General features: G+C 42.4%; 1 pseudogene; it reads left to right on the forward strand.

The window, feature by feature from the left end:
• On the forward strand, positions 10,536-11,886 carry CDCA7P1 (CDCA7 pseudogene 1; annotated as a pseudogene).

The raw sequence follows: 14,436 nt of genomic DNA on the forward strand, positions 1-14,436 counted from the left end.
ATTGGTTGGGAGTACATGTATGGCTTTCCCTCATTGGTCCTTAGTTGAAAGCAAGAACAAAAATTAAGGAATTGTGAGTTATTATATTTAGTAAGTGCTGGCCATTTGGAGCCAATCGGTACAGGGGTATTATTGTTTGTCTTCCTCTACTGTTTGCTACAGATAGCAGCTTGACTTCCTGGACTGGTTACTGTAATAGTAGGTTGGCTTTCTGGGCTGGTTACTGCAGGTTGTAGGTCAGAAGTCTACTTTTACTTTTAGTTTGGCCATTATCCATTTGTATATTCAATTCTCAACCTTTGTCTGTTGGATCTCATGTGGCTTGGGGATTGCTCTCTAAGTTCAGGGAGTTTACAAGTCTACTGTGCATTCAGCCAGAGACAGTAACCTTTCTGGTCTTTTCTGAGCAAGCCCACCCTTATGCATGTATTCAGTCTTCCAGATCGCCAGAGATGAGTGGGTGGTCTCGATGACTGTGCATATGCACAAGGGTAGGGTGCCCTTCAGCCATCCCTAGATGTCATTTTTAAATTTCTGGTAGATTTCTAAATTAAATATATTAACTTGCATGCTTCTGTTAGTATCCTTGAGCTGTCAGCTTTCCCTGATTACTCTTCACTGTGACCTCTATTTTCAGCATTGCCCTTAGGCCAGATTTTTCCATGTTCTACTCCAAATAAAGTCAACCCCTTCACGCAGGGGCCCCAAGCAGCCAGTCGTGAAGGTTTGCCATACCTACTAGGGCAGAACCTCTTTAACACAGAGTTGGAGCTTTAGGGAAGTGGGAATAGAAGCCACCAGTCCTTCCTGTCCTCATGGCCTACTCTGGCCCTCTTGGAGTGGAACTGCCTTGCCAAGGAGTAGGAGTGGGGCTCACAGGAGCAATGAGAGTTACTGGTCCTCACAGACTACCCTTCATGTCTAGAGTGAGACTTCTACAACATGTTGGGAAGGGGAGAGATGGGTGCAACCCCTGGCTTAAGTGCCGCAGACTTCCATGGTCTCTACCAATACTCACTAAGTGATTTTCAATATTTTGTAGAAATTTGGTCAATTTCCAGAGACTTTAAATGGAAATCTTACCTGTACCTGGGATAAGTGAGTTACCGTACTTGTAGAATGTGGGAAGTTACTTTTAAGAGACAGTCTGGAGTATTTTTAAGTAAACAGCACAGTTAAAACAAGAAGATCTCGGCCAGGCATGGTAGCTCATGCCTGTAATCCCAGCACTTTGGGAGGCCAAGGTGGGTGGATCACCTGAGGTCAGGAGTTCAAGACCAGCCTGGCCAACATGGTGAAACCCCATCTCTACTACAGATAGAAAATTAGCCAGGTGTAGTGCCCAGCGCTGTAATACCAGCTACTTGGGAGGCCGAGGCAGGAGAATTGCTTGAACTCGGGAGGTGGAGGTTGCAATGAGCTGAGACCACGCCACTGCACTCCAGCCTGGGCGACAAGAGCAAAATTCCTTCTCAAAAAAAAAAAAAAAATGCAAAACTAGACTCTTATAGCTTGCAGACGAGAACGATGAAATCTCAGATGATTGAGCATCTCACAGAAACAAAGGCAATAAAACTCATATTTAAACCTACTCATCTAAATTTATGTTCAAAGCTTTTATTTCACTACTAGGGCTGTAATGTGGCCTGGAACACATGGCATGTATGTGTGTGCATATGTGTGTGTGTTGGCCAAAGAGGTTGGAGGAATTTTTTGATACAAGGTCAAGCACTCTCAAAAATTAAAATTCCTAACTAATGCTGTAGTTATGGGTCTTCTGCCAACCAAATTCAAGACTATCATTTCTCCTTAGGAAAACCTGCCTGGTGGTACATGCCTTTGTTAACATCAAATTCGTTAAAATTAAAATTACACACACACACACACACACACACACACACACACACTCGCATCCCTCCTGAATTAAACATTTTTCTGCAGCCACTGGGAATCAACTCCAACCATCCCCAGGAGCAGTTTTGTTTTTGTTTTTTGAGACGGAGTCTCACTCTATCACCCAGGCTGGAGTGCAGTAGTGGATCTCGGGTCACTGCAACCTCTGCTGCCCGGGTTCAAGCAATTCTGCCTCAGCCTCCCGAGTAACTGGGATTACAGGGGCCTGCCACCATGCCCAGGTAATTTTTGTATTTTTTAGTAGAGACGGGGTTTCACCTTGTTGGCCAGGCTGGTCTTGAACTCCTGGACCTCGTAATCCACCCACCTGGCCTCCCAAAGTGCTAGGATTACAGGCGTGAGCCACCGTGCCCGGCCCGGGGGCAGTTTTAAACATTATCTCCATAGCCAGAGTAAAAGGGCAGGCTGCTCTGCACCTGGCAGGGCCAAGGTGTCTCCTGCCTCCCTCCTCTGAATTTGCCCAACTTGAGCCTCAATGCCTACACCTTTTCCCAAATCTTGATGTTTCTCTTAAGGGAAATGCCCCTGACTCTGGATGCGCCCTGGCCTCGAGTTCCTCCTGGCATTGATTTGGGGGTCTTGGTCGTGCCCGGAGACAGGGAGAACTCAGAGTTCTGGAGAGAGGCCGTCTCCACCTGCTGGATTACCTGAGGTCAGGAGTTCAGGACCAGCCTGGCCAACATGGTGAAACCCCGTCTCTACTAAAAAATACAAAAATTAGCTGGGCGTGGTGGCGGGCGCCTGTAATCCCAGCTACTCGGGAGTCTGAGACAGGAGAATTGCTTGAACCCAGGAGGCGGAGGTTCAGTGAGCGAGGTCGCGCCATTGCACTCCAGCCTGGGCGACAAGAGCAAAATTCCGTCTCAATAAATAAATAAATACAAAAAACAAAAACAAAAATAAAACCCATCTGCCCAGGACCATTTAGGGTCGCGGTGACCGGAGAACCACCCCGAGTCCAGGCGGCGAGAGGCTGCAAATTCCCTGGTTCCGAGGCCTCAGGGAAGAGCCCACCTGCCGGGCGAGCGTCTCCAAGAGTGAAAAGGAATCCGCACCCCGCGCGAGGGAGCCGGGTCCTGTGAACTCTGCGGTGGCTTCGTGGTTGCTTCCCTGATCCATTCGCTGCAGTCTCAGAGTTGGAGCAGCTTGGCGTTTACTCCCGGGCCTTTCCCGGATGGGAGAAGGAACCTGCGCGGGAACTTGAATTTTTTCGAGTCAGAATCAGCAAGTTGTTGTTGTTTGAGACCAAGTGAGCCACCGCACCCAGCCAAGAATCGGCTGTTTAAGAAAGACTAGGTTTCCACGTAAGAAGCAGGGTTCTCTGGGCCAAATGTTGACCTTTTCTCTTTTCTTTTTTCTATCTTCTTGATGAAGAGAATGCAATAGGAAGAATGTGAAGATTTTTAAAAATTGTTTTTGGTTGTTTCACGTTTGGGGATTTTTTTTCCCTGCAAGGAAAAAAAGAGTTAAAGAGAACAGAGAAAAAAATCATTTTGTTATCCTTTGCATATAGCGAAGGGGCCACAATTCTCGTCCCGCCGGCCGGTTAGCTCGGTTGCTTAGAGTGTTGTGTTAATTACGCTAAAGGTCGTGGGTTTGATCCTCTTACCGGCCACATGAGGAGAATTAGTTCTTTACCACTTTTGTTGATCACATCTCCTGTGAATTCTGCTTCCAGTTTCTCCGAAAGTAAGCTCTATATCGCCACTACTGAACTGGAAACACAGTCTTTCAAAAGAAGAAATGTGGGCGAGGGCGGTGGCTCACGCCCGTAATCCCAGCCCTTTGGGAGACCGAGGTGGGCGGATCACTTCAGTTCAGGAGTTCGAGACCAGCCTAGCTAACATGGTAAAATCTCCGTCTCTACTAGAAATACAAAAATTAGCCGGGCGTGGTTGCGAGCGCCTGTAATCCCAGCTACTCGGGAGGCTGAGACAGGAGAATCGCTTGAACCCGCGGGGGGGAGTGGGGGGGGGGCGGCGCGCAGAGGTTGCAGAAAGCCAACATCGTGCCACTGCACTCCAGCCTAGCTGATAAGAGCGAAAAAAAAAAAAAAAAAAAAAAAGAAGAGGTAACATGTGAGAGCTAAGACGGAGGCCTTCATTTTTGTTTTTAAGTAAAATTGAGTAAGGTAAGGCGTGTGTGCTAAGGGAAGGGGAACTAGCGTTAAACAATTTCCAGTTTTGTTTTAGACAAAACTTTCTGAAACATCGTTTCACATTAAACTTGTGAAAGACAAAAAAAGATTCTATTTGCTGTGGCTGGTTAGCTCAACTGGTTAGAATTCGGTCATAGATTCCCGTTTGTCCCTGCCTAAGAACACTTTGTGGTCTCGCAAGTCCTCTCCAAGATTTAACAACGTCCCCAATAAATCTGTAGAATCCGATGGCTGTTCCCTCACAGTTTAGGTCTTTGCTTTTATTTCCATCTTCATACATAGAAAATTGGCCTATGTGAATTGTCTCCATCTGAGAAGAAATTGTAAAGCCATCTGCACTTCCAATCACTTCCACACTTGGGTTTTCACCGGATCACATGAAATAGGATTTTTAAATGACATATGTGAACAATTTTCATTAACATCAACACACTAGGAAAAAAAAACAAAAGAAACCAAAAACTTCATTTTAAACTGAAATGACATGTAAAAGACATTATTTTGTAAACGTCTAATTAAAGTTTAATCTTGGGGTAAGAAATACGGTGGGCACAGTGGCTCACGCCTGTAATCCCAGCACTTTGGGAAGCCGAGACAAGTGGATCACTTGAGGTCAGGAGTTCGAGACCAGCCTGGCCAACATGGCGAAACCCCGCCTCTACTAAAGATATAAAAATTAGCTGGGTGTGGTGGCACACACCTGTAGTCCCAACTACGCGGGAGGCTGGGGCACGAGAATCGCTTGAACCTGGGAGGCGGAGGTTGCAGTGAACCGAGATCACGACACTGCACTTCAGCCTGGGCGACAGAGCGAGATTCTGTCTCAAAAAGTAAAGAAAAGAAATATACTCACATTGCAAAGTTAAAAAGCATAGAAAGATACAGTAAAAAGTCTCTTCTTATATTTCATCCACCCAGAAATCATTTCCAATGTCCATAGGTAAACTCTATGCATAGTTGCTTATGTATCCTTTCCAATATTTATACAAATTATTGTTTTCTCTCTTGTTTTCTATTTATTTATCTATTTAGACAGAGTCTGGCTCTGTGGCCCAGACTGGTGTGCAGTGGCACCGTCTCGGCTCACTGCAACCTCTGCCTCCTAGGTTCAAGCGATTCTTGTGCCTCAGCCTCCCGAGTAGCTGGGACTACAGGTATCTGCCACCATGTCTAGCTAATTTTTTGTATTTTTAGTAGAGACAGGGTTTCACCATGTTGGCTAAGCTGGTCTTGAACTCCTGGCCTCAAGTGATCCACCCACCTTGGCCTCCCAAAATGCTGGGATTACAGGCGTTGAGTTACTGTGACCATCTCTTTTTATAAAAGAACACATCGTGTTGCAATTTGCCTTCATCACTTCACATTGTAACTTGGAATCACTATTTTATCAGTATTTAAAAATCTAGCTAATAACACTTTACAGTTGGCAAAATCAGAGCTCATTTTCAAAAGAGTTGGCATATTAAGCAGAAGTTGAACCTGAAATGTTCTGTTTGCATCATTGAAGGAGGGAATGCATACAAGAAGGAAACTTTGAGAAACTTCAAAGTCGGAGAGATGATGACAGCTATAGTTTTCTGCTGCAAAGGAGGACAACACATTTTCTGCCTAACAGCATAAAATCGTACATGAATATGTATTAATTTAGCAAATATTTACTGATTTCTCCACTCTTTAGAATGCAATAATTAGTTGTTATTCTATGTCTGGTAGTTGCTGATGAGATATTGTTATGTGGAAAAAACAGAATCCAAAACAGTTTTGCAAGATTATGATTTTTAGTTTAAAAAAAACTGTATTATGGGATGATTTATATATGATAACGTGTACAATTTGATGTTTTGGCATATTTATACATACATGTAACAACTACCACAATCAAAGTAGAGAACATTTCCATGATCCTAAAAAGTTCCCTTGTGGCCTGTGATAGTGAAACCTGTGAATATGTTATCTTTCACAGCAAAAGGAACTTTGCAGCTGTGATTAAATTAAGGATTATGAAATGAGGTGATTATCCACAATTACCTGGATTGGGCGTTGTAATCACAAGGATCCTTTTAAGAGGGATCATTGTCAGAGAAGGAGATGTGACAGTGGAAGCAAAAGTTGGAATGATGAGGCCGGGCGCGGTGGCTCATGCCTATAATCCCAGCACTTTGGGAGGCTGAGGTGGGCAGATTGCCTGAGCTCAGGAGTTTGAGACCAGCACCACCAACATGGTGAAACCTCATCTCTACTAAAAATACAAAAATTAGCCAGTAATCCTGACTAAATGCTCCTGTAATCCTCGCTACTCAGGAGGCTGAGTCAGGAGAATTGCTTGAACCCGGGAGGCGGAGGTCGCAATGAGCAGAGATTGTGCCACTGCACTCCAGCTTGGGCGACAGAGTGAGACGCCGTCTTAAAAAAAGAAAAAAAGTTGGAGTGCTGCAGGGCGATGAGCCAAGTAATGCCAGCAGCCTCTTCTAGCTGGCGAAGGCAAGGAAACAGATTCTCCTCTAGAGCTTACAGAAGGAAGATAGCCCTGCTGACTCACTCTAGACCCCTGACATCCAGAGCTGTGAGATAATAAATTTGTGTTGTTTTAAGCTATTAAGTTTGTGGTAATTTTTCACAGCAGTAATAGGAAACTAATGCATGCCCTTTCCCAGTCAGTCACACTCCGACCACACAATTTCCAGTCAACTATAGGCCCTTTCCATCATGATGGTTTTGCCTTTTCTGGAATTTAATCTAAATGGATTAAATTATATGCTATGTACTCTAGTTCCTGGTTTTTGCTCAGAACATTTTTGAGATTCATTCATGTTGTTGCACATATCAGTAATTTATTCCATTTATTAGCACTTTATTGGTAAAATGTATTCTATTTGTACAGACATGCCACAATTTGTTTTTCCATTCATGTGTGGGTGAACATTTTTATTATTTTCACATTCTAGCTATTATAAATAGGGCTGCTGTGCAAATTTGTGTAACAAGTCTTTGTGTAGACATATATAAGCCAGAGTTCTTCAGAAACAGAAAACCAATAGTGTGTGTGTGTGTGTGTGTGTGTGTGTGCGTGTGTGTGTGTAGACAGTGATTTTAAGGAATGGACTTACATGATTGTAGAGTCTGGCCAGTTCAGATTCTGCACGGTATGCCAGCAGGCTGGAAACCCAGGAAAAAGTTAATGTGGCAGCTAAAACTCAAAGGCTGTCTGCTGGCAAAAGTCCCTCTTCCTAGGGAGAGAAGTTAGTCTTTTTTCTCTTAAGTATTTTTCAACTGATAGGAAGCAATCTGCTTTACTCAAAGTGTACTGAATTAAATGTTAATCTCATCCAGAAGTACCTTCACATCAACGTCTAAACTAGTGTTCGATCAAATATCTGAATACTATGAGCTAGCCATGTTGACACGAAAAATTAACCATTGCATATGTTTTCACTTCTTTTCCAGGAAATACCTAGGAATGGAATTGCTGGTCATTTAGTAAGTGGGTGTTTAACTTTATAAGAAGCTACCAGTGTTTTCCAAAGTGGTGGTTCACTTTACATTCCAAAAAGCATTATATGAGAGTTCCAGTTGTACAACCTCCTCAGCATTTGTTATTGTCAGACTTAATGTTTATGCAAAGATATCCTATGACATCTTTGCCTATTTCATAATCATGATTTTCTCCTATATTTCCTTCTCAGAGATTTATAAATTAGCACTTTTGTTTAGGCCTATGATCTATTTTCAGTTAATTTTTTTATGTATTCTAAAATAAGGATCAAAGTTAATTTTTTTCCATATGGCTATCTCCTTGTTTCTGCACCATTTTTGAAAAGACTATCCTTTCCTCATAAAGTACATAGGCACTTTTGTTGAAAGTAAATTTATTATACATGTACATCTATTTTTGGAGTCCCTATTTTATTCCATTAATCTATATGACTTTCCTAATTATACTTTAATTTGCAGGCCAGTTAGGATGGCTATTATCAAAAACCAGAAAATAAATTGGTAAGGATTTATTGGTAAGGAACTTTATGTATTGCTGGTGGAAATGAAAAGCAGAGCAGCCACTGTGGAAAACAGTAAGATTCCTCAAAATTTTCTTTTCTTTTTTTTTTTTTGACAGAGTCTTGCTCTGTCCCCCAGGCTGGAGTGCAAGGCGCGATCTCAGCTCACTGCAACCTCCGCCTCCTGAGTTGAAGCAATTCTCCTGCCTCAGCCTCCTGAGTAGCTGGGACTACAGGCGCACGCCGCCATACCTGGCTAATTTTTTTCGTATTTTAGTAGAGACCAGGTTTCATTGTGTTGCCCAGGCTGGTCGCAAACTCCTGAGCTCAGGCAATCTGCCCACCTTGGCCTCCCAAAGTGCTGGGATTACAGGCATGAGCCACTGCACCCTGCCAATCCTCAAACTATTAAATGTAGAATTACCATATGATCCAGCAATTCCATTTTTGCATATATATCCAAAATAAATTAAAACACGGGCTCAGATTCATAGCAGTGTTATTCACAATAGCCAAATATCCATCAACAGATTAATGGATAAACAAAATGTGGTATACACACAATGGAATATTATTCAGCCTTGAAAGGAAATTCTGGCTGGGCACAGTGGCTCATGCCTATAATCCCAGCATTGTGGGAGGCCCAGGTGGGTGGATCACCTGAGGTCAGGAGTTCAAGACCAGCCTCACCAACATGGCGAAACCCCGTCTCTACTAAAAATACAAAATTAGCGGGGTGTGGTGGCTCATGCCTGTAATCCCAGCCGGAGGCTGAAGCAGGAGAATCGCTTGGACCCAGGAGGCGGAGGTTGCAGTGAGCCAAGATAACACCATTGCATTGCACTCCAGCCTGGGCAACAAGAGCAAAACTCAGTCTCAAGAAAAAAAAAAAAAGGAAATTCTGACACATGCTAAAACATGAATGAACCTTGAAGACATTATGCTAAGTGAAATAAACCAATCACAAAAAGATGAATATTTTATATTCCATTTATATAACGTACCAAAGTAGTACAATTTATAGAGAGATAAAGTGGAATGGTGGTTTCCAGGGGACTAGAAAGAGGCAAGGATGTGGAGTTAGTGTTTAATAAGTACAGTTTCACTTGGAAAAGATGGAAAAGTTCTGGAGACAAATGGTGATAATGGTTGTACAACAATGTAAATGTACTTAATGCCACAGAACTGAGCACTTAAAAATGGCTAAGATGGTAAATTTTATATTATGGTTGCTTACATAATAAAATAATTACACACCAGAGACCTATGACATATGTATTAGCCACATTTTTAAAAATGATAAAAGTGTAACACCTTATTAGAGACTGACTCAGGTACCTACAGCAAGTAATAGGTGGAGTTGTCAGTAGCCTCTCAAACTCAGGTGTTTGATGGTCCCTGGCTAACACCCAAGGGTTACCTCTGTATTTATAACACATCATCACTTTAGTTATGGATAGAAAAATGCTTAAAGCTGTCTCCATATGTCTCTCATTTTCTACCCTCTCTTTTTGCACTGCACTTGGCCTGTGGTCTGGGTGTGAGGTCCACATTCCTTCTGAGAACTCATAGACCAGCACTCTGAGCTCTTCCAACCCCCTTCTCCTATATTTCAGCCTCCAGGCTCAAATCCTCATTTACTGATCTTTATTTATTTATTTATTTATTTATTTATTTATTTATTTATTTTTGGAGACAGAGTCTTGCTCTATTCCCCAGGCTGGAGTGCAGTGGCCCAATCTCGGCTCACCGCAACCTCTGCCTCCTGGGTTCAAGCTATTCTCATACCTCAGCCCCCTGAGTAGCTGGGATTACAGGTGCCCACCACCACACCCGGCTATCTTTTGTATTTTTAGTAGGGACGGGGTTTCTCCATGTTGGCCAGGCTGGTCTCGAACTCCTGACCTCAAGGTGATCCGCGCGCCTCGGCCTCCCAAAGTGCTGGGATTACAGGCATCAGCCACCGCACCCGGCCGCTGATCTTTCTTTAATCATTCTTTTAAAAATGATGGATATCTTAATGGTTTCCTTCTTTTCTTTCCTCCTTTCTTTGGTTTTATTTTATTTTATTTTATTATTTTATATTTTGAGACAGGATCTCTGTCACCCAGGCTGAAATGGTTTCTTATAGGAAATAATCTTTGGAGCCTCTCTGAACCCACTCCACTACCATACAGAGATAATTTTATTAAGTTTGGATTATATCCTTTCAACCCTTATCTACATCTATGTGAAATTATCTACATATTTGTAATTATATTTTTGCATAAATAAAGCCCAATAGACATGATGTTATGTGTTCCTTAAACTTAATATGTCTTGGACACATTTCAAACACACTTATACCTAAAGGTCTGCCTTATCTTAGCTATTTGATTCTATAGCGTAGCATAATTTATTTAACTAGACCTCATTTGTTGGGCATTCAGGTGGTTCCTACTTTCTCTCTCTCATAAAGAAGTTTCACACGCCTCCCGCTCCTCCTGTTGTGTGACCGCTACGCGCGCCGCTACCGTGCTCTCCCGGCTCCAAGCGCAGACCAAGAGTTCCGCTGCCAGCAAGGCTGCTCTCCGCGTGCCGCAAAAGGATCTCAGAGTAAAGACGATCTTAAATTCGATATGTGAAGTTGATTCCCATGGAAACCTCGTCATCCTCTCATGACAATTATGACAGCTTTGCTTCTGATAATTTTGCAAACACGAGGCTTCAGTCAGTCCAGGAAGGCTGCTGGACCAGCAGCCAGTGCAGACACTCTGGACTTCTCAGGCAGGCGATGAAGTTTCCAGGGCGAAACACCAGGGGAGCAGCCAATAAAAAAGCAGAGTACCCCAAACCCTCAAGGAATTCTATGACTGGTTCCAATTCCGATTCAGAAGATGAAAGTGCCATGAATTTGTTTTGTTTTGTTTTGTTTTGTTTGAGGAAAGGGCTTGAAATATAAAGCAAAACAAAGCAATGCTTGTAAAACGCATGTCAGTATTAGAAGCTTCTCTGGTTTGTTCCCCGGAAGACATTCCCCGCCAGGCCCCAACTCACAATCAAGGAGACCCCAAGGTAAACATTCCTGGATGTTTCTTCAAGGAGACATTCTGAATGGAGAGAGCTCGGCCTCTTAGAGGTCAAGGTCAGGATCCTCGGGTCCCTTGGCGCTCTACCTACGGAAGAGAAGGAAGAAAAGACAGAGGCTAAGTACATGTTGGTGAGAAAGAGGAAGATTGTGGACGGCTACATGAACGAAGTTGAGATGCTCAGAAATCGTCCCGCCAGATCACCCATGATCCTTCCACATATAATTCGGCCACCGGAAGAAATTACAGAGGAAGGTTTGGAGAACATCTGCAGCAACTCTCAAGAGAAGATATATAACCGTTCGCTGGGTTCTATTTGTCATCAATGCCGCCAGAAAACTATTGTTATCAAACAAACTGCAGAAACCCAGACTGTTGGGGCTTTCAAGGCCTGTTCTGCGGCCCCGACCTTAGAAACCCTTGTGGTGAAGAGGTCAGGAATACTCTGCTGGATGCGAACTGGCATTGTCCGCCTTGTCGAGGCCGTGCAACTGCAGTTTCCGCTCGCAGCGAGATAGACTGTGGGAAACTGGGGTCCTTGAATATTTAGCCAAATACAATGGCTTTGGGAATGTGCATGCTTACTTGAAAAGTCTGAAACAGGAATTTGAAATGCAAGCATAATATTGGAAAATTCACTGCCTGTCTTCCACTTCTCAAATCTCTCTTGCTGAAGTTTTCAATTTTGTCATTGCTTGAAACCTGAATTAAGAATCTTGGTGATCAGTCTGTTTTATAAGAAACTTCCATCAAGAAGCAAAACAAGAACAAAAACAAAAACAAAAAAAAACCTTCCATCAAGAATCTTGACAATCAGCCTCTTTATAAGAAGCTCCAATCAAGATAAATCTCAGTAGAGACATGTGTTTCTGGAGCATCACTAAACGAATATTGCTGGCTATACTTTCCCCTCCTACAGTTTTCTCCTCTGCTCCCCACAACCTCCAATTCATAGTACCCTTTTCTCTTTCCAATGGTCCTCTCCCCCTGCTTAGTTTCTGAAGTCTTTTTAAATGACAATTTTATGAAAGCATATTTGATTTAGTTGCAGTTGAAATAGCCCTGCAGTCCACTCATGAAACCTAAGCACTTAAAAACACAGTAGTAGTATTAATTAACTATATCTATTGAATTTCAGAGAACAGCCCTCTAACTTGTTTATGCAAAAACAATGGGTATGTGGGTTGGGAGCCATGGCTCATGCCTGTAATCCCAGCACTTGGGAGGCAGAGGCGGGCAGATCACCTCAGGTCAGGAGTTCAAGACCAGCCTGGCCAACATGGTGAAACCCAGGCTCTAATAAAAACATAAAAATTAGCTGGGCCTGGTGGTGGGTGACTGTAATCCCAGCTACTCAGGAGGCTGATGCAGGAGAAACGCTTGAAACTAGGAGGCGGTGTTTGCAGTGAGCAGAGATGGTGCCATTGCACTTCAGCCTGGGTGACAAGAGGGAAACTCCATCTCAAAAAGAAACAAAAAACAAAAAACCAATGGATATGATTTAGTGTTTATACTAGTTGATATTTTTAACAGAATCGAGGCACAAAAGTCTTAAAACCATGTGGGAAACTTAGGTAATTGTTGCAGAGTGTAGCATATTACTTCAGATGCCTCTCATGAATATATTCCATGTATTGTGCTTATGATACAAGTTGTCACATATGAGTCCTAGTTGCTGCTAATTTCTTCTGCCTTAAAGTTAAGTGTAGCATCTCCCTTACACAATCATGATCCAAAGGTTTGTGGGCAGTGTTATACTTACAATATAGATATATATAGATATATATGTCTATCATATTTATAGCCTATGTATGACTATATATGATATATACCAAATATGAGATATATATGATATATATGAGATATATATGATATATATGATATATATCATGTATGAGATATATATGATATATATGATATATATCATGTATGAGATATATATGATATATATGATATATATCATATATGAGATATATATGATATATATCATATATGAGATATATATGATATATATGAGATATATCATATATAGCCTATATAGACTATCATATATATAGTCTATATATGATAGACATATATGTCTATCATATATGTCATATAAAGTACTACCATTGTAATTTCCCAGGATATCTTTCGATGTCTTTCCTATACCATATAGGAAAGACATCCTGGGAAATTACAATGGTGAAACTTTAGGCGTAGGCTCATTGAATTCTTGGTATAAAACTTCATCATGGCCGGGCGCGGTGGCTCACGCCTGTAATCCTAGCACTTTGGGAGGCCGAGGTGGGCGGATCACAAGGTCAGGAGATTGAGACCATCCTGGCTAACACGGTGAAACCCTGTCTCTACTAAAAAATAGAAGAAAATTAGCCGGGCTTAGTGGTGGGCACCCGTAGTCCCAGCTACTCGGGAGGCTGAGGCAGGAGAATGGCGTGAACCCGGGAGGCGGAGATTGCAGTGAGCCGAGATCGTGCCACTGCACTCCAGCCTGGGCGGCAGAGCGAGACTCTGTCTCAAAAAAAAAAAAAAAAAAAAAAAAAAAACAAAAATCATCATAATTGTAGTTTGCCAAGTTTATTTCAGTTCACATGTTAAGTATTTCAAACAAATTCTTGGGCCATTTTGGGTGGAAACTTGATATTAATAACTAGTGTAGGGTTCTTTGCAGTTTCTTGAAAAAATTGTAGGCTAGGCACAGGGTTCATGTTTAGATTTTAAGCACCTTTATAACAATGAGAAGTTCTTTTTTGGAGGTGGGTAACTGTCAACAGTTTGTTAACCTGACGTCTCTGCTGATTTAGTTTCTGGGCAGAGTTCCTGTGTTGGCATTCTCCTTTTCTTTTGCATTAATCAAGTTGTTTGGTAGAGGTGGAATCTAAGTGTTTTTGTCTCAACCACCTGGGAAAATAGTTGTAAGTTGACCACTGTCTGATTTACAGAATATAATTTCTCTAAATCCACTCACATATTTTTCTTTCTTTCTTTCTTTCTCTTTCTTTCTTTCTTTCTTTCTTTCTTTCTTTCTTTCTCTCTCTCTCTCTCTCTCTCTCTCTCTCTTTCTTTCTTTCTTTCTTTTTTTTTTTTTTTTTTGAGACGGAGTCTTGCTCTGTCGCCCAGGCTGGAGTGGTGGAGTGGAAAGTGGAGTGGCCTATCTCACTGCAACCTCCGCCTCCCGGGTTCAAGCAATTCTCCTGCCTCAGCCTTCCGAGTAGCTGGGACTACAGCCGCACGCCACCACGGCCCGCTAATTTTTGTATTTTTAGTAGAGACGGGGTTTCACCATGTTGGTCAGGCTGGTCTC

This window comes from Homo sapiens, chromosome 6, assembly GCF_000001405.40.
Source record: "Homo sapiens chromosome 6, GRCh38.p14 Primary Assembly".
Classification (NCBI taxonomy): Eukaryota; Metazoa; Chordata; class Mammalia; order Primates; family Hominidae; genus Homo; species Homo sapiens.